General features: G+C 37.8%; 2 long non-coding RNA genes across 2 annotated transcripts in view; both read left to right on the forward strand.

Annotated features, from left to right (window-relative positions):
- Positions 1-20639, forward strand: part of LOC105375751 (uncharacterized) — a 463156-nt gene extending 442517 nt beyond the window's left edge. The window contains exons 5-6 of the long non-coding RNA NR_188069.1: positions 6163-6226; positions 19252-20639. This is a non-coding gene — a long non-coding RNA (uncharacterized LOC105375751). The remainder of the gene's footprint in view (positions 1-6162; positions 6227-19251) is intronic.
- Positions 12762-20622, forward strand: PCAT1 (prostate cancer associated transcript 1). The gene is made up of 2 exons (NR_045262.2): positions 12762-13382; positions 19252-20622. It is a non-coding gene; the product is annotated as a prostate cancer associated transcript 1 (long non-coding RNA).
- Positions 20640-24967: the final 4328 nt, after the last annotated feature.

Raw genomic sequence — 24967 nt, forward strand, 5'->3', positions numbered from 1 at the left:
TCAAAAACAACAACAACAACATCAACAACAAAAAACAACTATCCCAGAGATAGGGAATACTAGAGTGAGAAGAGAAACGAATTTATACATGTCAGGGAAGGGATACAGAATCAAAAAAGCTTCAGAGAGACTCTGAAGACTTCTGAAGACTGAACAGAATTTGAAGGGTTGAAGAGGGACCCACCAAGGAGGGAAGCCAGGAAAGTATATTCCAGAAAGACATGGCATTTTCAAAGGGAGTCCATGTAGGATGCTTTTCTTAGAGGTTTGCAATTAAATCATTAGTCATCTCCTTTGGTGTATTTATTTGAATACATTCTTCACCAGGCAGCAAAGAGGATACAAGATGACATCAGTGTGTTCTTATTAGAAGTTATAATTCTAGTCCTTTGAATGTTCCCATTTGACTGGAAGTGAGTAAAAAAAGAATCTTGAAGAAAACAAACTTTTAAAGGAAATAGGCCCTCTGACTCCACCAGCGTTGGACTTGGAGTCAATTATCACAAAATTCTAGGCTCTATAAAAATCAAGAGTTCTATCTACTTACCTTTTTCACTTCTAGGTTCCCCACACCTAGCTTAGTGTCTGGCTCCTAGTACATGTTCAAAATATTAATTGAATAAAGGAAAAAGTAAGAGTAAATTTTAACCTTGTAGAGGTCCAGTTTTCTCATCTGGAAAAATTAGATGATATTGTCTGCTGAACCACATAGTATCTGGACTCAGCCTGAATTTGAATACTGCTCCTTACCACTCATTTCCCTTTGAGTAAATTAACTTTTAGGTAACTTCTAGACCCTCATCTGTAAAATAGAGTTGACATTAGCTCCTCAGAGATAGTGAAGATAAAATATAGTTTTATATAAATGACTTAGAACAGGGCTGGGTGCATATAAAGTTCTTAGTAAATATTAGCTAATGTTATAATAATTCTTAAAAGATTATTTTCCAAAAAATGGTAAAATTATAAATCTCATACAAACATAAAAGTGAATACATGTGAAAGATTTTATTTAACTCATTAATGTTGAGACTAATGAGGTGTTACAATCAGTTCAAAGGAGATTCCAAAGTACAGACACATTTATAATCAGGAATGTTGAAATTAATGAGCAAAGGGAGGAAAGACTAACCTCTTGCACATTGGGGAGGGAAATCATTTGAATCTTCACTGGATAAAATTGATAAAATTTAACTGTCTATGGACAAGAATCATTTTGCATTGCCATCAGTTGTCTATAATGTACACAGTTGTAAAACAGCTCCCATAGAAACAAAATTAGATAACTGGGAAGAGTGTGATATAGATATTACATTGTTTTCCATTGAGATAGAACATTTCTCTATGTTGTTATTATTATTACATACCTAACACCATTAATGTAGGAGTTACATGAGATTATAATGTAAAGATGCTATGTAAGCAGAAATGATTCTCATTTTTTTTCTACTTTTGATACTGGTCCCTTTTAGTATTTTAATATCATTATTCTTTTTTAGCATATGTTTGGGAATTATTAATATATTTCATTTTAAAAATAATAGTTTTTTTGCTTCTTTGATTATAAGAATATTATATGTTCAGGGCAAAAAAATCAGTCAATATAAAAAGGTACAAAGGAAAAGGTAAAATCAGTAATCCACCATCAAAAGGTAACCATTGTTAATACTCTCATATATATATATATTTGGGAGCAGACTACACGTTCTGCTTTGTAATTTGATTTTTTCACATTTGATAATTCATCATGTACATTGTATTATGTATCATGTGTCATGATACAATTTATCATGTTATTTTATTTTTATTTTTATTTTTTGAGATGGAGTCTCTCTGTCACCCAGGCTGGAGTGCAGTGGTGTGATCTCAGCTCACTGCAACCTCCGCCTCCAGGGTTCAAGCAAGTCTTCTGCCTCAGCCTCCCGAGTAGCTGGGACTACAGGCACCCGCCACCACACCTGGCTAAGTTTTGTATTTTTAGTAGAGACAAGGTTTCACCATATTGGCCAGGCTGGTCTCGAACTCCTGACCTTGTGATCTGCCCGCCTCGGCCACCTAAAGTGCTGGGATTACAGGCATGAGCCACTGCACCTGGCCATATTTTTACATTAGTGAAATGTCAACGTATTTTTAAAATAAATAAATAAATAATATTTTCATGTGTTTAGAATATTTTATTAAGCCACTCAACAACATTTGTCAATCAGTAGTAGCACAAGCTGATTTCTTTGTCCTGTACTGGCTCTTTCCATTTGTTCGCTCAAAAAGAAACACCGGACATGCAAACAAGAATTTGCATTTTGCCAGAGACTTGATCTATGTGCCTAGGCAAGTTTAATCTCTCTTTTCTATCTCTTCATTTCCTTAGGGGTAAAGTAGAACTTATTGTGGTGAAAGTACAAAGCAAGTTTCTGAGATTGGACTCGAGCAGCTTACAGATCAAAGATCCCACTATTGGCCTTATGAAAGCTGAAAATCTCTGGGTACCTGATGCTCCTTCAGCCATCAACAGATATGACCTCTCCTCTAAGAACCTGAGAGGAACAATAGGATAAATAGCAAGGGACAAAATGTGATCACATCCCATCACAATGGGAGTTGTTCCCAAGTTGATTTGTCTCCTCCACATGATGTGTCTGCCTCTTTCTTACATGTCAGCTAGCTCAAGAGGTCCTAAAGCAGAAACATCTGATTCACCTATCTCTTGTAACCATCAAAGTGTCTGATGCATAATAACTAATGTTATTGTATAATGAGTGAATGAACAAATGACTATAGTGAGGTCAGTTTTCACTCATGATACAGCTCTCAAAGAACCTGACGGTCAGGCGCGGTGGCTCACACCTGTAATTCCAGCACTTTGGGAGGCTGAGATGGGCAGATCACGAGGTCAGGAGATCGAGACCATCCTGGCTAACACAGTGAAACCCGGTCTCTACTGAAAATACAAAAAACTAGCTGGGCGTGGTGGCGGGCACCTGTAGTCCCAGCTACTCGGGAGGCTGAGGCAGGAGAATGGTATGAACCTGGGAGGCAGAGCTTGCAGTGAGCCGAGATCACGCCACTGCACTCCAGCCTGGGTGACAGAGCGAGACTCCATCTCAAAAAAAAAAAAAAAAAAAAAAAGAACCTGACTAAAAGTTCCATAATTTCCTAATTGGAGGAGCTTCCCTCCTCCACCTGCGGTCCCCAAACATATACCACCATCAACTGAACCTCTCTGACTAGGAAGAAAAAAATGTGACCTGAACTCTTCCACTTTCTGCCACCTCAATTATCTACTTCCATTCAGTGATTGAAGATTGAAAATGAATTTGATTACCACAGACTTTTCTGTTGGCTCTTTCTTTCCTTCTTCCTCTTTCCTCCACTCCTGATGTTCATACTCTTCTTGCTTCTCCCTTTGACTACCCAAGATCCTCCTAGGGAACCTCCAGTGCCCCTGCTTGCAATCTATTCTCTACAAGGGGCAAGGGCAATTACTGAAAAGCTCAGATGTGACTATGCTGTTTCCTGATTAACATTTTATGAATAATCTCTTTTGCGTATGGCTATAGTTCTCAAACTTGTATCAGAATCACCTGGATATGGAATTAAAACATCGATTCCTAGAACGAGCTCTCATAGTTTCTGACTCAGTAGGTCTGGGGTCAGGCCTGATAATTTCATTTCTGACAAGTTCCTAGGTCCTGTGGATCTTTTGAGAACCACTATTTTATGATAATAAATCAAATTCTTCAGTGAGAAATTTATTGAGCTGTTTAGGATATTCTTGTATTTATACTAAATCAATTTACCTTTCTAGATTAATCTTCTAGTACTTCTACTATTTCTTCTCTCACTGAGGCAAGCATGGTTTTCCTTCTAGACACACCAAACCAACAGCTATTCTCTATATATTCCTTATTCTTTATCGGTTCTGCTTGATATGTAATGTTCTTCCTCATCGACGTTAATCTGTAAAGTTTTGCTTATACTTCACGACCCAACGCAAATAACCAAAATTAGTTTTGAAATAATCTTGAGCCCTCTATGAGCTACCTCTAGCTCCACACACCAAGATAGAATAACTGACAACATTCTCTGTCTATTCTTCATTCTTCCTCCTCCATAAAGTCCTAAATTAGAGATGTTCATTTCTATGCCAATGTACTTAGCTCAGTTATAAAGTCCTTGAAGGCAGGATTTCTTCCTTCCTTTTTTTCCTCTTCTCTCTCTTTCTTTCTTTTTCCTTATGAATTATATAAGCTAACCAAGTCACAGAATGAATGATCCTAATAAAATATTTATGGAATTTAGTCGAATTTAAGAAACACTTTAGTTTAGGGATGAGCTATCAGATCAGCTCCTAATATCATTTATTCTCCTACATGGGCATTCAGGGAAGAATTAGGTAAATAGTTGGGCAGAAATAGAGTCACAAGAAAACTTTTTTTTTTTCTGGGCAGGTAGTCATAACCAGAAGTGGTTTTATAGGAGCAACACATGTGAAGACAGAAGTCATGACTGCCAACTGGCTCCTTAATATCTACGTTAGGATAGAGGGCAAAGTTAAATGCAACAAGTACTACTACTAATAGTAATATGTTCATATATGAATACATATCATTGTTAAAGTCTTGATATACATCAAGCCCTGTGCTACATACAAAGTATAGGCCATTATATGTGGAACAATGAAGAATTTCTAGCTTAATCAAAAAATCATATGTTTCAAAAACATACCAGGAGTCACAAATTTTCCAGGGATTTCTCTAAATTTCTTGAGAGTCAAATGAGTCACTTTTAAACTGTCTATGGTGTCATGATCTTGATTAATGTATTTTATTCAGTTGTTAACATATCTAAGCCAGATCTTCATTTGTAAATGCCTTTGGATAGTATTCAAGGAAGTCGCTTTCCTGCATCTTTTGTAATATTTATAATTTTACCTTACAGCTGATTTTTTATCATTCAGTAGAAGTTTTAACTCATAAAAGTGAAAATGTATCTTAATAATTAACTTGAAACGTAAGATTGACATTTCTTTCACCAATCTTTGAATAAAGAGCAGAGTCCTTGCCTTTGATAATGAGCCCATAAAATAGAGTTATGTGTCATCTTTCTTTTATAAGCCACACCCATAATACAGTAATACACTTATCTGTAATTTTTAGTTCTTTTTCTGAAAGGAAAGAAAATGTAAAAAATATAAACAGCAATCAAAAGACAAAACCCCTCAAGAGTCTATGTTCTCTCCAATCTATTACAATAGTGTTGCAATAGCACTTTTGGGAGCGTTATTTTTATCAACCCTTCCAAAATATTGACTTATCAAAATCATATTTCATGTGTTTACATAACCTTTTATTAATCAGTTAATTCCAGTAGAATAAATGAGCTTGGGAGTCAATATGACTGATTCTTGGCACACGTAAAATTTAACTGCTAAGGATAGAAGTGTAAGGGATTACTAGAAACTGGCCCACTAAACACCAGCATCAGATTATTGTAGAACTCAGAGTGGCTTGGAGAGCAGTGCTGGAGGTCAGTTAAAAGAACTTCAAGGCAGGAAATCCCAGGCTTATGAGGATTAAACTTTAGGGTGATACAAAAGGAATTCTCAATAGAAATTGTACTTTGAGTACTGATACAAACATTCTGCTTTTCACTTTCATTATAGTATTCAATAAAGTATGAGAAGAAGTTCAACACTTCATTATAAAAAAAGTGTCATGTTACATGATTTTGCCAAACTGTAGGCTACTGTGAGTGCTCTGGGTACATTTAAGGCAAGCAAGGCTAAGCTACGATGTTCAGTAGGTTAGGTGTATTAAATGCATTTTCAACTTAACATTATTTTCAACCTACAATGCGTTTATTGGGATGTAACCCCATTGTAAGCTTAAAGGCATCTGTACTTCACATATTAGCCTCAGGACATTCCTATGAGGTTGGTGTTATTATTTGAGAGTGATGATTCCATTCTCTCCCTTTCAGTGTTTCTCAGTAGGCCCATAAAATAAGAACTTTTGTCTTCTTGGAAATATTAAGAGTATGCTAAAATCTTTAATTTTCTCTCCCCTATGTACTCACTCTACTCCAAGGGGCACTGGTATTAGAGAGATTAGCCAAGGAACCCTGAGCACATGCAGCCTAACTCTCTTCTCCAATCTCTTTTAGATCCAGCCACCTCTTGGGATGCACACGTTTCTCTTCAACTGCGTGATGTGAACTGCGTCACATGGTAAGAGAGCTCAGCTATTGATCAATGGCTTTACCAGTCTTTAGTTCACTCAAATCTAGGAAAGGAGCTGACAGCCTATTTTGTCTTGGGGCCTAAGCAGGGTTCTCCGTTCCAGATTTACCAGCAAAGGTCCATTTCTTTTCTTTCTTTCTTTTTTTTTTTTTTTTTTTTTGAGATGGATTCTTGCTCTGTCGCCCAAGCTGGAGTGCCGTGGCACCATCTCAGCTCACTGCAACCTCTGCCTCCCAGGTTCAAGCAATTCTCCTCAACTTCCTGAGTAGCTGGGATTACAGGTTCCTGCCACCACTCCTGGCTAATTTTTTTGTATTTTTAGTAGAGATAGGGTTTAACAATCTTGGCCAGGCTGGTCTTGAACTCCTGACCTTATGATCTGCCCGCCTTGGCCTCGCAAAGTGCTGGGATTACAGGCTTGAGCCACCATGCCCGGCCGGTCTGCTGTCTATTTCTTAATTGGCTCAGAACTTGAAGGAAAAAATGGTGTAATGAATATTATACAATGTCAACCTTATTTTTATTCTACCCACCATTTTCTTCATAGCTTAGGTGTATTATCTTATTTTATTTTGAAAAATCCCAAAGAGGTGGACACTACTATTGTTTTAATTTTACAGATGAATTTAAAAATAGCAGAGATTAGATTACTAAAGTTGAGATTTATATAGCTGGTAAGAAAGAAGACTGAAATTTGAATCTATTATTCATTTGTTCAGTACTTTAGTATTGGACTAAAATACCGATAAATCCATAAGTCCACTTTGGTACTATACTTATGCTTGCTGGAAATATATGCATAAAATAGTTATAGTTGTTATCTAAGTGAAATTTATAGCTTAGGGAGACTATATTAATTATATATTAATTTAATTATCATAAAAGTAGTTATGTAATTACAAGCTGCAATAATGTCTTCAAAGACCATTCTCTTAATCACTGTAGTATTACTATCTTGCCTTGACTTTGAGATTTTCTAGTGCTGGAATTAATATTATTTCATCTTTTATTGTCTTGTTGAAACATTCCATCATTCTTATTTGGTTGTTTTATTATGATCAACTGACATATAAGCAGACCTGAAAAACACTTGCTTGGGAAGATCATGATGGAGATTCTTGGAAATCTCCTTGCTATTACTGGTCCCCATCCTACTATAGTATCATCCTTTAAGAGGGACAGAATTGTTCCTAACATCTAGATCATGAAGATGAATTCCCTAAAAGAGAATTTTAATTACAGAAAAAAATAAAAACTTAGAGGTCATTCATCTGAGCTTTTTATTATGTTATAGAAAAAAAAAAATCCCAAAGGCTCGGGGAGGTTAAATAATCCATTGAAGATCACATGGTCTATAGATGTAGACTATTAAGACTGGGACAACAGGCTCCCAGTCCAAATAACTACAGTATCTTTTAAAGCATTAACTTAAGTTCTCTAAACACTGAATTTAGCTAAAGTCAGATCCACTCCTAAGAAGAAGTTGTGGTAAAGCAAAATTCTCAGTGTTCTTTAATTGACAGATGAGAAGAGTAACATGAGGTAGATATTTAGTTTTACCCTTGGAGTAATTGCCCAGTATGAAATCTCAAGTATATTATGTGATTTTTTCCCTCCTTTGTTGAAGTATAGAGAGTAGTTCTTTATAAGAGAGATAGTTAATTAAACATACTTCCTCATTTGCTCAGCTTATTCATTTGTGAAAAGAGGACAATGGTATACAACCACTAAGGATATGATGAGAATTAAGTGATGAAATGTATGTAAATGATTTAGCACAGTACTTAGTACATATAAAATATGCAGTAAATGTTAACTTGTGTAGGTGCGTTGTTGTTGTAGTGCTGTCTTCTCACTATATTCGAATGTAGAGCTTCAAATTAATCATTTTAATTTTCAATACGAGGATGGGGGACAAGGAAGGAGGAAATGGTGCATACGTTTTAACACAAAGCTCCTGATGGGAATTCAATTGCACTTCAAAACCAACTTCTTTGAAAATCACTGCTTTATTCTTTATTACATTTTCATATCTATTTCTGTGTCTCACCTGAACTTTATATAAAATGTGTTTAAGAGTTGGTACACACAACAGTTAGAATTATCATAATTTGGCAAATGAGTAAACAGAATCAAGATTAGTAAATGCAAGAGTGGTCTTGTCTAGACTTCAATTTTCTTTAGCCCTAGTCAGCTTCTCCTTTCTAGATGGTAGAACCAAGCAAAACACTATCTTCATTTCAGCCCCCAGGCAAAGCTTTTCAGTTTATGGAAAACTTTCCCCTAGTCCATTCAAATTCTCTGGCCACCCTCGCCAACCTCTCATTTCCATTTCGATTTTTCTGACTTCAGGCCCTGCTTGATGAAGGCAAAATGTTTTCCCCAGCAATTAGTTTAGCGGAAACTTCACATTTGATATTGTGGCAGACAATGTTTCATTATGCTCTCTTGATCTAAACAGAGAAATCACTGTTCCTGAAGGTGGCCAAAGCACACTCCAAAGGGTAGTGTTACTGAGTTACAGCCCAAGAATGGAGACCACAAGGGAGGCTAGACTCCATTGAGAAAATGCATCAGCGAGTGTGGGTATATAGGAATGCTTAACAAGAGATATTATGATCAGCATCAATAGATGTGTGTTTTATGAATAAGAAGAATAAGGGTATTCATGTTCCTAAAGTGCTTCAAAATCTCTGGCTGAAATATACTCTCAAGGTTTACATCCACGGCTCTCCCTGAAATAATATGCTGTTTCCCTGCAGGAAATGTTGAGTCAGTTTCCACAGGCCCCCACACACTGGTGAGAAGTTATGTCTTAATTGTTCTAAGATCCCGAAACTCTGTTTTGTAGCATTCCTTCAGCAAAGCAACCTAAAACCTGTAGTTAAAATTATTTCAGACTCTCCATGCCTGAAACATACAGAGTCATCAACTATGAAGTAAGTAAATATGTAGTTTTCTCTTTGAGGGTAGTGGGTTTGAAGAAATAAACAGGTAAAAGGATAAGAGAAAAACATTTTGAATGGAGGGGTCAGATGATGGAATGACTTGAAGGCAAAAAGCATCGTGGCTGTTGGGACATGAACTATAGGCAGCAAATGGCTGAAAACAAAGTTGCAGAAATAGGGGTCCATTCAAAGCACCTTGAATGCCAGATGAAATCCTAATCAACCAAAAAGACTGGCTTGATGTACATTAAGCTTGTATTATACATTTACATCTATAATTTACATATTCTGCTAAATGATTTTATTAAACTGGAACTTCTATATCCAGCTTCATTCTTCTAATACTCCTTAATGTATTCCCAGATAAATGAAACTTTGAATTTATTAATGTTAAAATAATACTAATAATCAGAACAACTTGTAATTAGACTTATTTAATCATCATGATATCACTGAGGACAAGGCACCATTGGTTTTTCAATTTCTGCTTTTCAGATGGAAATCCTGAGGCTTAGAGAATTTAAATGACGTAGGATGTGGCATAGCATGTCTCCTTGAGATGTTCCTAGCTATGATCATTGATTTATTTGGAGGTCTTTGAGTGTTTCTTTCGGGGACTCCCCCTTGCATATATTTAATAAGTTACACTATACTCCAGGCTCAGCTTGTGGTCACATACTCACTTTACCTCTCCTCCTTCTAGATTTTCTTAAAAAACATAATCTACAAACCAACCTGATCTTCTGCATTGAGATCAAATTATAATATTTTTTAGTCAAGATGTTTGGCATTATGGTCCTTTTCATTTGATAAATTTCAGCCTGATGTGTCTGGATCATTTTTTCTACTGATATTGTCTCCTGTCATGTTAATGATTTCCTATACCTATGGGACACCCTTGTAACCAACCATAAGGCTCTAAAGGAATGAGAAGTTGAATGGACCCATTTTTCCAAGAATTAGTGAGGTGGGGCATTTCTCAGACCTTGGAGAGATGGAGAACACCGCCGCCAAAGAAAGGTACTTGGGTCATAAGGAGTACGTTAAAAATGTAGCCAAAATAAACAGCAAACCTCACAATTTTGCCACTGTTTAGATTTGCCAACCTCTGAGAAAGCCTGCCTGCCTTCACTCTGAAGAGAGCCAAACATTAGTGATGGAGAAAAGCAGAATCCTTTGTATTCATACTTAGAGCTAGGATTTACTTATAGTTAACCCTGTACATGTAAGTAGTTCAATCACACCACCCATTTTGCTACTTTCAGAGTGAGTAATTACCTCTTTGTGGTCTCCAGGGAACAGGAATTTGAGAGTTCCTTTATTCATGTGCAGTTCCTTTATTCATCACCAGGCACTGGGAATAAAACAAGGAAGAAGACAGACCTTTTGCTTGCCCTCAAGGATGTTACTGTCCAAAAGAAACTTAACAGAAAACAGGAATAGAAGTTCTAAGAGGCATTGTTTGGTCAATGTCATTTGATGTAATGGGACTTTCCTTTGTTTCTATTTACCTCCCTTTAAGTTGTCTTGGTAAATGGATTTTCCAAGTTGTCTTTCTATGAGAAAGTATGCTGTGAATATAAGAGGTAATTTTATTATCTTGGCTTTGTTTCTAGTTATGCAAAAGTAAATGATGAGCTTTTATATTTAAAATTTGGAAAGTTTAGGAGTGAGAGATAATTAACTAATTCCTTCTAACCTCATCTCCCCCTAAATAAGGCAAATTTGCTTGTCTTGAAAGTACTTTTAGTTATCAAAACATTGGCCTTCTTCATGGTTTTTGGATCCTGACAACTATCAAAATGTGGCAAGCAGCCCATACCTGCCTGGCAGGAAGTTATATTTAGTAAGTACTGTGTGAAGCTTTATTTTCCAGTTTCAAACATACTCAACCCTTGTTGCTCAGTTCCAATACTCATGCTTCCAAATAAAGAGAGTTTCTGGAATTCTCGTACGACTGGTAGATAACTTGACAAAGTTTCTCACCAAGTTCAGAATAAGCTGACACCAACTGGTTCCCTATTATTCATAGTCAGTCTATTTTTGTTGTTTGGCTAGTTAAACAAGTCTATTTGTTGTCATTCCTTTGTTTGTCCATCAGTTCAACCAATGTCCCAAGGTGAGTCTTCTGGCATTTAAAATCACATAGAGAAGGGGGGTGGGGGTGGAGGAGAGAGAGAAAGAGAGAGAGAGAGAAAGAAAGAATTCTGATGCGAGACTCAGCCAGTGTTTACTCAATTGTCTCACCACAACATGCAGAATGGTACCTCAAAATTATATTAAAAATCTGATGTTGTCCCAGCATTCAATCATACTGTCAAATTTGTTTAAGAATTCAGAATTTGTCTCCATACTTTCTTTCCTTTCAGATTTGCTTTGTTCCTAAACATTCTTGAGTAGTAATGAAGTCTAGGATCTCACAATATGCTAGTTAATTTCCAGCTCCTTCCCCTCCTCTTCTGATGTCTCTACTTTCTTTTCTTTTCTTTTCTTTTTTTTTTTTTTTTGAGACAGAGTCTCGCTTGGTTGCCAGGCTGGAGTGCAGTGGCATGATCTCAGCTCACTGCAACCTCCACCTCCCAGGTTCAAGCGATTCTCCTGCCTCAGCCTCCCGAGTAGCTGGGACTGCAGGTGCGCACCACCATGCCCAGCTAATTTTTGTATTTTTAGTAGCAATGGGGTTTCATCATGTTGGCCAGGATGGTCTCAATCTCTTGACCTCATTATCTGCCTGCCTCACCCTCCCAAAGTGCTGGAATTACAGGCATGAGCCACTGTGCCTGGCCTCTCTACTTTCTCAATAGTTGCATAACCTTGGAAAGATTATTCGATATTTCTGAACTTCAGATCCCTCATGTGTAATATGAGAATAGTAAATTATCTGCTATATCCATTTCAAAGGGTTGTTGTGAGGAATGAATAAGATTACAAATAACTTTTCCAATAGATGTACTGAATTCATACCTCGAGTAGAGCAAGTACTCAATATATTTTGGATGGTTGAATGAATAAACGAATGAATGAGAGCAATATATAAAGGAAAAAGTTGTATACACTGTAAACTAGGACACACTGGTAGTTCTTACATGAAGAAAATAAACTGTAGGACTCGTCAAAGACTTTTTTATTCATAGTGTTTTCCATGAGGGAGATTCTTGCAGAAACATTTCCTGGGACTGGACTTCACAGAACATACTCTAGCTAACTGTGATCAGGCTGGTCAATGACAATGTAACAGACTCTTGAGTTGGGCTTTGCTTGTTGCTCCAAAATTGTGAGTAGACCCCAAAGCTGAAGATAAGAAATCATTAGTGCCCTAAACATCTATATAGAGCTACAAATAATCACAGAAATCTTCCTTGGGTGTTCATTCAAAAGCACTTCAGCAGTTCTGCTGTTTCTGACAATCAGCCCGGGCACCTAGTCACTTCCCATATCAGTCAATGTAAAAAGACACTTTGAGTGGAAGTAGAAGGAAGAGCAAATTTGTCATAGTCTTGAGTTGGACCAATAGAATGTCCAGTGAAGTTGTTCTGTACTTTTCTGAAGCCAAGAGGAGGGAGTGGCTCCGAACCACACATGGATATTGGATATCTGCATAGGCAGCTTGCTCCACGCCGGTGCCTACCTGTGCAGATGGGAAGGAAAGGAAAGTGGCAAGGAGGCAGAGAAAGCATCTGTACCCTTACAATTTGGTGAGACAAGAATGTATGAATTCCCACAGGTCAAATTATAATGAAGAAAGGAACCTCTCTTGAGTACAAAGAGCTACCTATGGTGGTCTGGAGCCGGAGGACCACAGCATCAAAGGATATAAGATGCATAGCCAACTGAGGAACCTGAGCAATTAAAGAGATCCACAGTTAAGTCACACTTAACTGGCACTTGTGGAAGCCCCGCAAGGCCTGAAGGAGAGCTGACATAGGCACCCCAGAGAGCCAGAATCTGGATCCCATCTTAATAAGGCCATGAACACCAGTGGAGAAGAGGCAGAAACACCAATGGATAAGGAACATTCACATCTTTCTTCCCATGTGCCTCTAAGTGCCAGTGCAGGCCCCACAGGCCAAGCTACAGGGAGAAAGGAGATGACGCAAAGGAACCTAACTGGACTTTAATCACTAGAAGTGAGAAGAGAAATCTATTGGAACCTCCCAAGATAATGCCAAGGGTCAAAGGGTGCGCAGATACATAAGGTAAGCCCTTCGGTACTTATAAATTTAAAAAAATAAACAGTTGTGGAATGAAGTACCTTAGAAAGGATGAGTTCCCTGTCCCTGGTAGTTTGTAAATAGTTGATGCAGCATGGAGTAGTGGGGATGTGGCCCAAGTTAAGTAACTTAGGTATCCCAGATGGTCATGACATATTCTCCGCTTGAGTCATAACTCATCCCAATGTCCAGTTTTTCAGCCACTCTGCCCAGACTTCAAGGTGGAAAGAACTCAGCACTTACCCAGTCCCACTACCTGTTTCCGCATAATATGCCCTCTAATTGTTCAGCATCAGATTTAATATCACCCAAAGAGTAAGAAGATGCCTGCACAAGACTGTCCATGTGTGGGTAATTTAACAGCTAAGAATCATCGTCATCCTGCAGTGAAAGCTGTCCTTGGAGCTCCCATCTTATACTTTTCTTTTGATTCCACAGCCCAGCTAAAATTAGTATTAGCAAATATTGCTGGTGCCCTGCCTTAAATGGAGAAATATGGAGTTATCTGTGTAGAAGTTATAAAATTATAGGGAAGAAAAGCCCAGCCATTTCAAAATCACCAGTTATTTTATCATTTGACAGATACTTTCTACTAGGATGTTGAAATGTCTTCTGAGCTTAAATAGCATCCACTTTTAAGATTCGTAGAAAGTCAGATAGCAAATATTTTGGGTTTTGTGGTCCATACATCCTCTATCACAATGACATGACTATGCCATATTAGTGAAAAAGCAGCCATAAACAATACATAAATGAATGAGAACAGCTGTAATTCTAGTAAAACTTTATTTACAAAAGCAGGTACCAGGTTGGATTTGACTCCTGCGCTATAGTTTCTGAGTCCTATACTAGAGAATTTGGTAACTGGAATGTTTAAAGACATTGGATTTTTATCACTATTATTAAAAATGCATGATTATTATTTTTAAAAATTGCAATACAGAGAAACATAAAGAAAATTAACAATCATCTTTAGATAATCATTATGAAATCAGTATATTGTCTCTCAGTTTTTAATGAGTTGTTTTATATACTCTGAGTCTGCTGTTTAAACAATTTTATATCTTGTTTTTATCCTTAGCATGACATTGTAAGCTTTTAATACGTTATTTTAAACTCTGTGTTGGCATTATTTTTAATGGCTATATAACATTTCACTGAGTAAATATTCCAAAGTAGAAGTTACATAAGCAAACATCCCTCCTCTATTAACTATTTAAGGTTTTCCCAATGTTTGTCTTGGAAAAAATACTACAGGGAAGCACAGGCATACATTTTCCCTTGTGTTTTAAATTATTTCCATAGGTTGGTCTTTAAGAAAAGGAATTATTGAGTAGAGGTTTTGAACACTTGAAGGTTTTTATTATATACTACCAAATAACTTTCTAAAGGGGCTCATTCTCATCTACATTCCCAACAGTTATGTATAACCAAGCTTACTTTAGTGAATCCTCTGCATCATCAGGATTTACCATTAAACTAAAAATACCCATGTTACATTATGTAAAAAATGTTATTGTTTTAATTCATATTTTTATATTGGACTTTTCCCCATGTTTATTATTGACTTATTATTTTCCCTTTGGTGACTTTCATATTCATGACAACAGCATTTTCTAGCATTAATTAATCTTAGGAAGAAACATAGGTGAACGAGATTTTCTTAATAAAAATAAGAGCTATGAATTGCTGAATGATACATACCAGACAATTATATATAATTTTGTGTGTGCATATAATTTTATCTAATTTTATTTAAGCCTCACAGTGATATTATACTGCTGATATCAACCCTTTTTGTGCAGTCTGATATCCCATGTATGTTGAGTGGCACATAAAGTTCAGAGAATGGATTTAGTTGACATTTGCCCCAAATGTCTCTGTGTTTCCTCCCAATAACACTAGCCCACAATAATTAGGCACTTAGGTCTAGGGAATGCCCCAAATATTGTATACATATTATCTCAGTTCAATCTCAAAATAACTCCATAATGTAGGTATTATTTTTACTATTTTACCAATAAGGAAGCAGAAGTTCTGAGAGAGTACTTTATGTCAGTTAATATGACTTGTAAGTGGTATAGGCAGGGAGCTGGTGCACCTGCCTCCAAATCCCAACAGTAAGCACGGCTACTGTGAAGCCTCTTCCTTCTTCCCTGTTCCCTGGGTTTTGGATTCTTGGTCCTGTACCCCTTTCTCAATCTGTTTTTTATACCTGTTTGGGGATGCCTCATTGGGCTTCTTGGTCTTCAGCTTCTAATATGGCTGCATTTTACTTCCTCCTCTAGTTTTGCCATACATGTGCATGCACAGACATGCACACCACACATGCATGCACACACACACACACACACAATCTCAGATGACAAAACTTTGTTCCAGAATGCTTCCTACGGGAGAGGAGACACAGCCTTAAGCAGTAAGCTCTTTCTATGTAGAACTTCTTCAGTAGAAGAACTCAAGCATTAAAATATTGAAAATTATCTTCTTCTAGATAATTTACATAAATAAGATGGGTCCAGATTTAAACATTAACAGGGTGAGATCAGATTATGTGATTTTCATAAGATTGGTGCTCTAGTTTACATGTGTGAGGGCCTTTGTAGTCAAATCTTTTTCTCTATGCAAATGAGCTTCAAACAAACAGCACTGCTGATCCCCAACCTTCGGATTCTCTTTTATGCCCTTTTAATTTCCCTTTTGGCCCACGTCAAGAACCACATATTTGAATATCATGTAGGATTTAGTTTTCAAATTTGGTTGTGGCTTGTACTTAGAAAAACTGCTTGATACTGGAAAGGTATACTTCTGCAGTTTGTGTTTACTTACAAGTTCAAAGAGCTCTTTTCTTGTTTCAATCTAGTCTCTTTTCAGAGTCTGGATAATGTTGGACTCATGCTTACCAAATAGGATGTTGCTGAAGCATCCCAAATGGTCACGATGGATGTTCTACTTGACTCATAACTCATCCTAGATCCCAGTGTTTTAAACGCCTGCCTAGACTAGAAGGTGGAAAAGACATGCACTTACCCAGACCCATTGCCTGTTTCCTCATAATATGCCCTGAAAGTGCATGTCCAGTGTCAGATTTAATACCACTTAAGGGGAATTGGGCAAGACCATCCCATATCTGGATAACGCAACCACTAGGAATCATCCTCATCTCTCAGTGAAAGCTGTCCTTGGAATTTCCTTCTTGCACTGTTCTTTTGAACTCTACATTTTGCAAGCTAAATTTGATAACAGCAAATATTGCCAATGCCCTGGCTTAAATGGAGAAATTTAGAAATATTTGTGTAGAAATTATAAAATTGTACAGGAGAACTGACCACCTTGAAATCTCCAGCATTTTTTCACTGGACAGGCCAATTTTACTAGGATACTGAAACATTTCTCCAGGTTGAATACCATCAATTCTCAAGCTGTCAGGCTATGTCATGGCCCCATTCAGAGAAAAGTGATGGCCTCATAGGCTTCCACTTTGGTCAAGCTGGTGGCCCCACGTTCACCTCCCTGGACCCATTCTCAGCATTCTGAGAAGCCCTGTATTGAGGGATCTCTTCTTGAATCAGAACTACCATTCCTGGGGTATGTGCAATATAATTGCTTCTACCTAGAATAGAGTCTTACTCCCAGATCATGAGATTAGCAAATACAAAGGCAGAGAGATTACCTAGTCTCACCTCATTTTTACTACAATGCTATGAAAGAGATCCTAGATTTACCCCCAAGTTCAGAGAGTAAGAAAGAAGAGTTATAGAGACAACGAGATTGTAAATATGAAAATTGTTGAATGTTTGAGGCAACCACTGTTTTGCCCATGTGATTCTGCTTTCCAATTCCAAATCATTTATGATCCCTTTATAGTGAGTGACACAATTTTTCTGATGGTAGAGAACAGTAGAAATTTCAATAGACTTACAATGAAACACTTTTAGGTTCGAGTCCTGCTTATGCATTTTATAAGTCTTGCCTACTTGGGCAAATTCCATAATCTCTTTAAGCTCCAGTTTCCTGATGGAGATAATAACACATGTGTTGCTGAATATTTGTGAGACTTCAACATTCTAAAGTATGTGAAAATTTAAAGTATAGATCTTGGAACACAATGGGGATTCATAATGTTATTTTCTCCCTGTCTTTTCCTTTTCACTCCTTCTCTTCTTTCTTTCTATTTTTCTTTGTCTTTGTCTTTCTTCCATGCAAAGTCTAGTTATTAGTGAAGTTCACCTTTTGATTCCAAGTTCAGTCTTCTTCTAGAAGTCTAGTCGGAATCCAGGGAGGCAGTGCATTTATGGGCTAGGGTAGGAATAAGTCAAAATTCTGGACGAAAAGTAAATAGAAACGTTCATTTGGAGGATGAACTTGCAGTGCTCTCCAAAGACCTAAGAGAAGAGGCTGACGCTGAATTTGGGTCTGACCATATTTCTAATGCACTTCTCAGCAGAGTACTCCCACCCTTGGCTTCTCCCATTCATTTGTATGGCTCTAGCTTCTTCTAAACCATTTGTTCTCAAAATGTGTTCCCAGGACAAGCGACATCAGCATCACCTGAGAACTCGTTAGAGAAGCCAATGCTTGGACCGCATTCTAGACCTACTAAATCAGAAACTCTGGGGGTGGAACCCAGAAATTTGTATTTTAATAAGCCTTCCAGGTCACCCTAATGCATGCTCAAGTTTGAGAACAACTGCCCTTCACCAATTTTACTTCAGGTGTCCCCTCCTACACCAAGGAAAAGGCAGCCTTGAAACTTGGCATTAGACTGTCAAATTTTCTTAAACAGGTGTCCTCCCATGTGAGCCTTAGGTTAGCAAATGCTCTAACTAAATTCAGTACCCTAGGCGAGGATCCTGATATAGGTCAGGGATGTTGATTTAGCTAACTTGTTTCTCCAAAAAATGCTTTTGAAGTGTCTGAGTTAAATAAACATTTGCAATAAACCCAAACTTTATTACTTGGCCTCTTTCATCATGTCCTTATCAAAATCCTCTCTTGGAGCCTATTCAAAGGAGATTCTGAAGACAAGGCAGGCTTATAACTCCTGCTTCCCAGGTCATAGGATTCATGTGCTATGAGAATCATACTGCTGCTGCATGCTTTCATCACTCTGCCCCATCCCTGAATTTAGAGTAAACATTTCTTCTTAATAAAAATGAATATGAGAAAATTTTAATGTCCACAACTGTCCTGCAAGGTATAAGTTTTTTTATAGATCAGGAAATCCAGGCAGTGATTGGTTACTAGAGTAGATGCTGTTAATTTCACACTCCATGTCCCGAAGCTCGCTGCTGAGTTCACCTGAAGCTTACAGCTTTTTACTTCAAGTGCTTCTCAACCCATCAGACCAGAAGCTGGAAACTGCCAAGGGTAGCTCTCACACAGTGAGAGAAAAGAGACAGGGGATAAATATCCTAGCTGGCCTCTCCCTTGGCAGGAAAAGTCTGAGGTTTACACGGTGACTCAAATGGTCCCCAGAAGGATTGAACCCCTACAGTGGCAATGGCTCATTCGGACCCTCTTTATTGCTTTCTCTCCCTTCTGTCTTACTTTCCTCAGTTCCTTCCTTATTTGAGAACAAATTCGAAATAAATTCCTGTGCTCAAGTTTTTGTTTCAGGATCTACTTCAGGAACCCAAAGCAAAGTAGTTGGATGACTTGATCAAGGTCATACATATATTACATGAGTGCAAAAGTAATTGCAGTGTTTGCATGGTGGGACTTTGCCATTTGATATTGGAATACGTTCTTATATAAATGTGGTTATGTTATACATCATTTTAATGGACACTTCTCAATTTATATTTTTTTGATAAGGACTTATTGCTTATTGTTTATTTTATGTTTATTTTAGACCATGGAAATAATATCAGACAAAAAGCAGATTAGAGCAATTTTCTTTTTCGAGTTCAAAATGGGTTATAAAGCAGCGGAGACAAACCGCAACATCACCAACGCCTTTGGCCCAGGAACTGCTAATGAAGGTACAGTGCAGTCACTGTTCAGGAAGTTTTGCAAAGGAGACTAGAGCCTTGAAGATGAGGAGCATAGTGACCAGCCATTGGAAGTCGACAAAGACCAATTGAGAGGAATCATTGAAGCTGATCATCTTACAACTACACGAGAAGTTGTCAAAGAACGCAATGTTGACCATTGTGTGGTCTTTTCGCATTTGAAGCAAATTGGAAAGGTGAAAAACTTGATAAGTGGGTGCCTTGTGAGCTCAGCAAAAATCCAAAAAAATAATCATTTTTAAGTGTTGTCTTCTCTTATTCTACGCAACAACAATAACCATTTTGCAATCGGATTGTGATGTGCAATGAAAAGTGGATTTGGGGCCGGGCGCGGTGGCTCACGCCTGTAATCTCAGCACTTTGGAAGGCCAAGGCGGGCAGATCACGAGGTCAGGAGATCAAGACCGTCCTGGCTAACACGGTGAAACCCCGTCTCTACTGAAAATACAAAAAATTAGCCGGGTGTGGTGGCTGGCGCCTGTAGTCCCAGCTACAGGCTGAGGCAGGAGAATGGCATGAACCTGGGAGGCGGAGCTTGCAGTGAGCCGAGACCGTGCCACTGCACTCCAGCCTGGGCGACAGAGCGATACTCCGTCAAAAAAAAAAAAAAAAAAAAAAAAAGACAAGTGGATTTTATATATGGCAACCAGCAATGACCAGCTCAGTGGCTGGACTGAGAAGAAGCTCCAAAGCACTTCCCAAAGCCAAACTTGCACCAAAAAAAAGGTCAGGGTCACTGTTTGGTGGTCTGCTGCTGGTCTGATCCACCGCTGCTCTCTGAATCCTGGCAAAACCATTACATCTGAGAAGTATGCTCAACAAATCAATGAGCTACGCCAAAAACTGCAGCATCTGCAGCTGGCATTGGTCAACATAACGGGTCCAATTCTTCTCCACGACAACGCTCAACTGCACCTTGCGCAAGCAGCGCTTCAAAAGTTGAACAAATTGGGCTACATAGTTTTTCCTCATCCGCCATATTCACCTGACGTCTTGCCAACTAACTACCACTTCTTCAAGTATCTCAACAACTTTTTGCAGGGAAAACACTTCCACAACCAGCAGGATGCAGAACACGCTTTCCAAGAGTTTGTCGAATCCTGACGCACAGATTTTTATGCTACAGGAATAAACTAACTTATTTCTCATTGGCAAAAATGTGTTGATTGTAATGGTTCCTATTTTGATGAATAAATGTGTGTTTGAGCCTAGTTATGATGATTTAAAATTCAAGGTCTGAAACCGCAATTACCTTTGCAACAACCTAGGATTCATCCCATATTCTTTATTGCAAAGAAAGCATAAGATTCTGGTGTTGAGTTTGAATCCTTCATTCTTGTCGATATTCCCCAAGGGCCTGGCATTGTGCAAGCATGTAAGAGACGATGGGGCCTTCATCCCATATTCTTTAATGCAAAGAAAGCATAAGATTCTGGTGTTGAGTTTGAATCCTTCATTCTTGTCGATACTCCCCAAGGGCCTGGCATTGTGCAAGCATGTAAGAGACGATGGGGCCTTATTTAGAAAATTAGTAGTTGTTGAATTCTCACCTTCCCAAACCCCTCAGCTTTTTTAGAGAAAATTAAATTTGACAATACACTTTTGTATCTCCTATTACTGTTGACTTTCCCAACATCTATATGACATGCACAGGACCATAATACCCAACAGGAAATAAGTTCTTAATTTGTTGAATAAATGAGTAGATCATGTAGTACATTTCACAATAGACAATAAGGGCCTACAATTTTGAATCACACCAAAGATCACACTGCTGATTAACAACCCAGCAGAACTAAAAGCCCTGCATCTTCAGGACTGATTTAGTGTTTTTTCTATTCTATCTTGTCATGCCCTTTAAGGGTAAATATTTTCCCAATGTTTTCCCATCACTGGAAGAAAACTTACATGGTTGAAAGCAATCTATTATTATGAGTACCACTCAAAGTAACTGTCCAGAGCAAATTTATAGTGAAAAACTCTAGTTTGTGTTTTTGAACAAATAAGGTCTTTTGGCAGCTGAATGTGAAAGATGTGATGACTGGTACAGCCCACACTCAGAGCAGATTGTGACCAGAGGACAACTACAAGCAAGAATCTTTGGGGGCTGTTAGATTCTTCAGGCCACACCACTCTGAAATGTTGACAAACTCTTATAAAATTCTCTTGTCTAGGAGTCAGTAAGCATGTTTTAGACATCTATTATGTGCAAAGCCCAAGGCTAGACACTTCTCAAAATGTATGTGTGATAATAAATTGCTCTATATCTGTTTTTTTTACATCTGCTACTATCCCAAATACAGGCCTCCATCCTAATGTGAGACACCTAATGGTGTAAGGCATCTTATGGATATTATTGAAATAGCTCCTAATCTGAAGTTTGCATTAGGTTTTTGGTGAATACACTTTATCAAGTTATAGAAGTTCTCTTTTGCAGTTTGTTGAGAGTTTGTCATGAATGGATATTAAAACTTATCAAATAATTATTCATTTATTGAGAATAATCATAAGATTTTAAAAAAGTGTTAATATAGTAAATTACTTAGGTTAATTTTCTAATGGTAAACCAGTCTTAATAAACTTGGGGGAATAAAAACCCTATTTGGTGATGACATATTCTCATCTTTATTTACTACTGGAGTAGGTAGGCTGATATTTTGCTTAGGTTTGTGTATCTGTGTTCATGAGTGATATGGCTTATAATTTTCCGTAGTTCTTTTCGTTTTGTCAGGTTTTCTTATGAAGGTTATTCAAGCCTCATAAAATGAATTTGGAAGTGTTCCCTTTTTTTCTATATTCTGGAAGAGTTTATTTAAGATTGGAATTGTTTGTTCCTTTAATATTTGGTAAAACGTATCCAGATAACCATCTGACCTAGAGTTTTCTTTGTAATGAGATTTTAAACTACCGGTTTGATTTCTTTAATGTTTATAGGAAAGATTAAGTTTTCTATTACTTATTAAGCCAGACTTGGTAAGCTTTATATTTATATGAATCTTTCTATTTTCTCTATACTTTCATGTTCCTTGATGTAAAGTTGTTCTTAATATCCCCATTATATTTTTAACCTATTCCATAACTGCACTTACGTTCCTCTTTTTATTTTTGACCAATTTTGTCAAGCATTTATTTATTTTATTAGGTTTTGTGTGTGTGAACCATCTTTTAGCTTTGTTGAATCTCACCATTGTATACTTATTTCCTAATTTAGTGTGCCAAGTGTTTCCTAGGGAGTACCTAGCGAACCATAACTGTGGAAGGGGCAGGAAGGGAGCAGAACTGTGCAGAGGGAGATGTTGAGTAACAGTGCTGGCCTCAGGAGAGACCCCACCAACCCATGGGGAGCTCTGGAGCTGAAGTTACCCATCAGAGTTTTCCTGTGTCAGACCAAAATGGCTGGGCCTGTGCACCCTGTATGGGCTGCCTCAGGAAGGGGCAAGGCCTTGAAAGAGATACCTGCCTGTGTCTTAGGCAATCTCGGAAGGTGATGCCAGCTATATGCTGTCAACTAGAAATACTCCTAGCAGTCAGAGAAAATATCTTTCCTTGAAGCATCACCTTGTTCAATAAACCTTTATTGTGTTCATCTTTAGCTTTTTCCATTTTTTCCAGTGTCTTAAATTAGATGTTAACCTTATTAATTTTCAACTGCTTTTCTTTTCTAATATGAACATTTGGGGCTAAAATTTTGTCTAAATGCTACTTTAGCTGCATTGAACAAGTTTTGGCATATTTATCTTTATTATTGTTCAATTCTATGTATGAGTTACTTAGGAACAAATTTCTGAATTTTGACACATAGAATTTTATAGTTACATTTTTATTATTTCCCAGTTGATAGAATTTGCAATGAGTTTTCTATCTTATAGCTAAAGTGACAGTTCCAAAGTGGAAAATTGTTCACATCACTTCAAAGATTCAAACCCATTCAAGGGCTCCCCATTGCCTCCAGAATAAAGTCTAAACTATTAAATGCACTTTAAAGGCTCTTGCTGATATGGCTTGAACTTACTTCTCCCTCATCACTCCTGCACCCTTTTGCTATTATTTAACCTAATTTTTTTTTTTTTTTATGTCCTCCATCTAGCCAAGTGTGGACTTGCCTTCAGGCCTATTGACCTTTCATAGACCTTGCCCTCTTTTTTTTTTTTTTTTTTTTTCACAGACTCTCGCTCTGTCACCAGGCTGGAGTGCAGTGGTGCAATCCCCGCCTCTCCCGTTCAAGCAATTCTCCTGCCTCAGCCTACTGAGTAGTTGGTATTACAGGTGTGCGCCACCACGCCCAGCTAATTTTTGTATTTTTAGTAGAGACAGGGTTTCACCATGTTGCCCAGGATGGTCTCAATCTCTTGACCTCGTGATTCACCTCCTTGGCCTCCCAGAGTGCTGGGATTACAAGTGTGAACCACCATGCCCAGCCTTTCTTTCTTTTTTTTTTTTTTTTTCCAAATTTATCCTTTAGGTATGTTATAAATATCTCTACCTTTTGAAATTCTTCTTATGTAGGCTTGCATAAAGCAGGTACCTTCCCTCTGTGTTTCCATAGTGTTTTGCTCCCACACACCTTACCTCATCATATTGAAATTGCATATTCAAGAGACTACATCTTTTAATTAGACTCTAAACTCCATGAAGTCAAGAAACACATATATATCTAATTCTCTATTGTATTTCTAATGCATTACTTAGTATATGTAGGTACTCGATTTATATTTATCAAATAATAGTAACAGATACCAATTATTATTTACTATTTGTTAGAAATTGTGCAAAGGTTAGTGTGGTAGGCAGAATAATGGCTTCCCACAGAGGTCTACATTCTAATTCTTAGAAACCATGAATATGTCATGTTACATGGTAAGGGGGAATTATGGTTGCAGATGTAACTAAAGTTGCCAACTCATCAGCTGCCCATGAAAGGGAGATCTTATCTTGTATTATCTCAATGAGCTCAATGTAATCACAGAGTCCTTACAAGTGAAGGGAGGGGACAGAAGAGTCAGTGCTGGAGTGAGACAGCAGTGCTGGAGAGGATGTGGAGAAATAGGAACACTTTTGCACTGATGGTGGGACTGTAAACTAGTTCAGCCCTTGTGGAAGTCAGTGTGGCGATTCCTCAGGGATCTAGAACTAGAAATACCATTTGACCCAGCCATCCCATTACTGGGTATATACCCAAAGGACTGTAAATCATGCTGCTATAAAGACAAATGCACACATATGTTTATTACAGCAGTGTTCACAATAGCAAAGACTTGGAACCAACCCAAATGTCCAACAATGATAGACTGGATTGAGAAAATGTGGCACATATACACCATGGAATACTATGCAGCCATAAAAAATGATGAATTCATGTCCTTTGTAGGGACATGGATGAAATTGGAAATCATCATTCTCAGTAAACTATCACAAGAACAAAAAACCAAACACCGCATATTCTCACTCATAGGTGGGAATTGAACAATGAGAACACAAGGACACAGGAAGGGGAACATCACACTCTGGGGACTGTGGTGGGGTGGGGGGAGGGGGGAGGGATAGCTTTAGGAGATA

This window comes from Homo sapiens, chromosome 8 (assembly GCF_000001405.40).
Source record: "Homo sapiens chromosome 8, GRCh38.p14 Primary Assembly".
In the NCBI taxonomy this organism is placed as follows: Eukaryota; Metazoa; Chordata; class Mammalia; order Primates; family Hominidae; genus Homo; species Homo sapiens.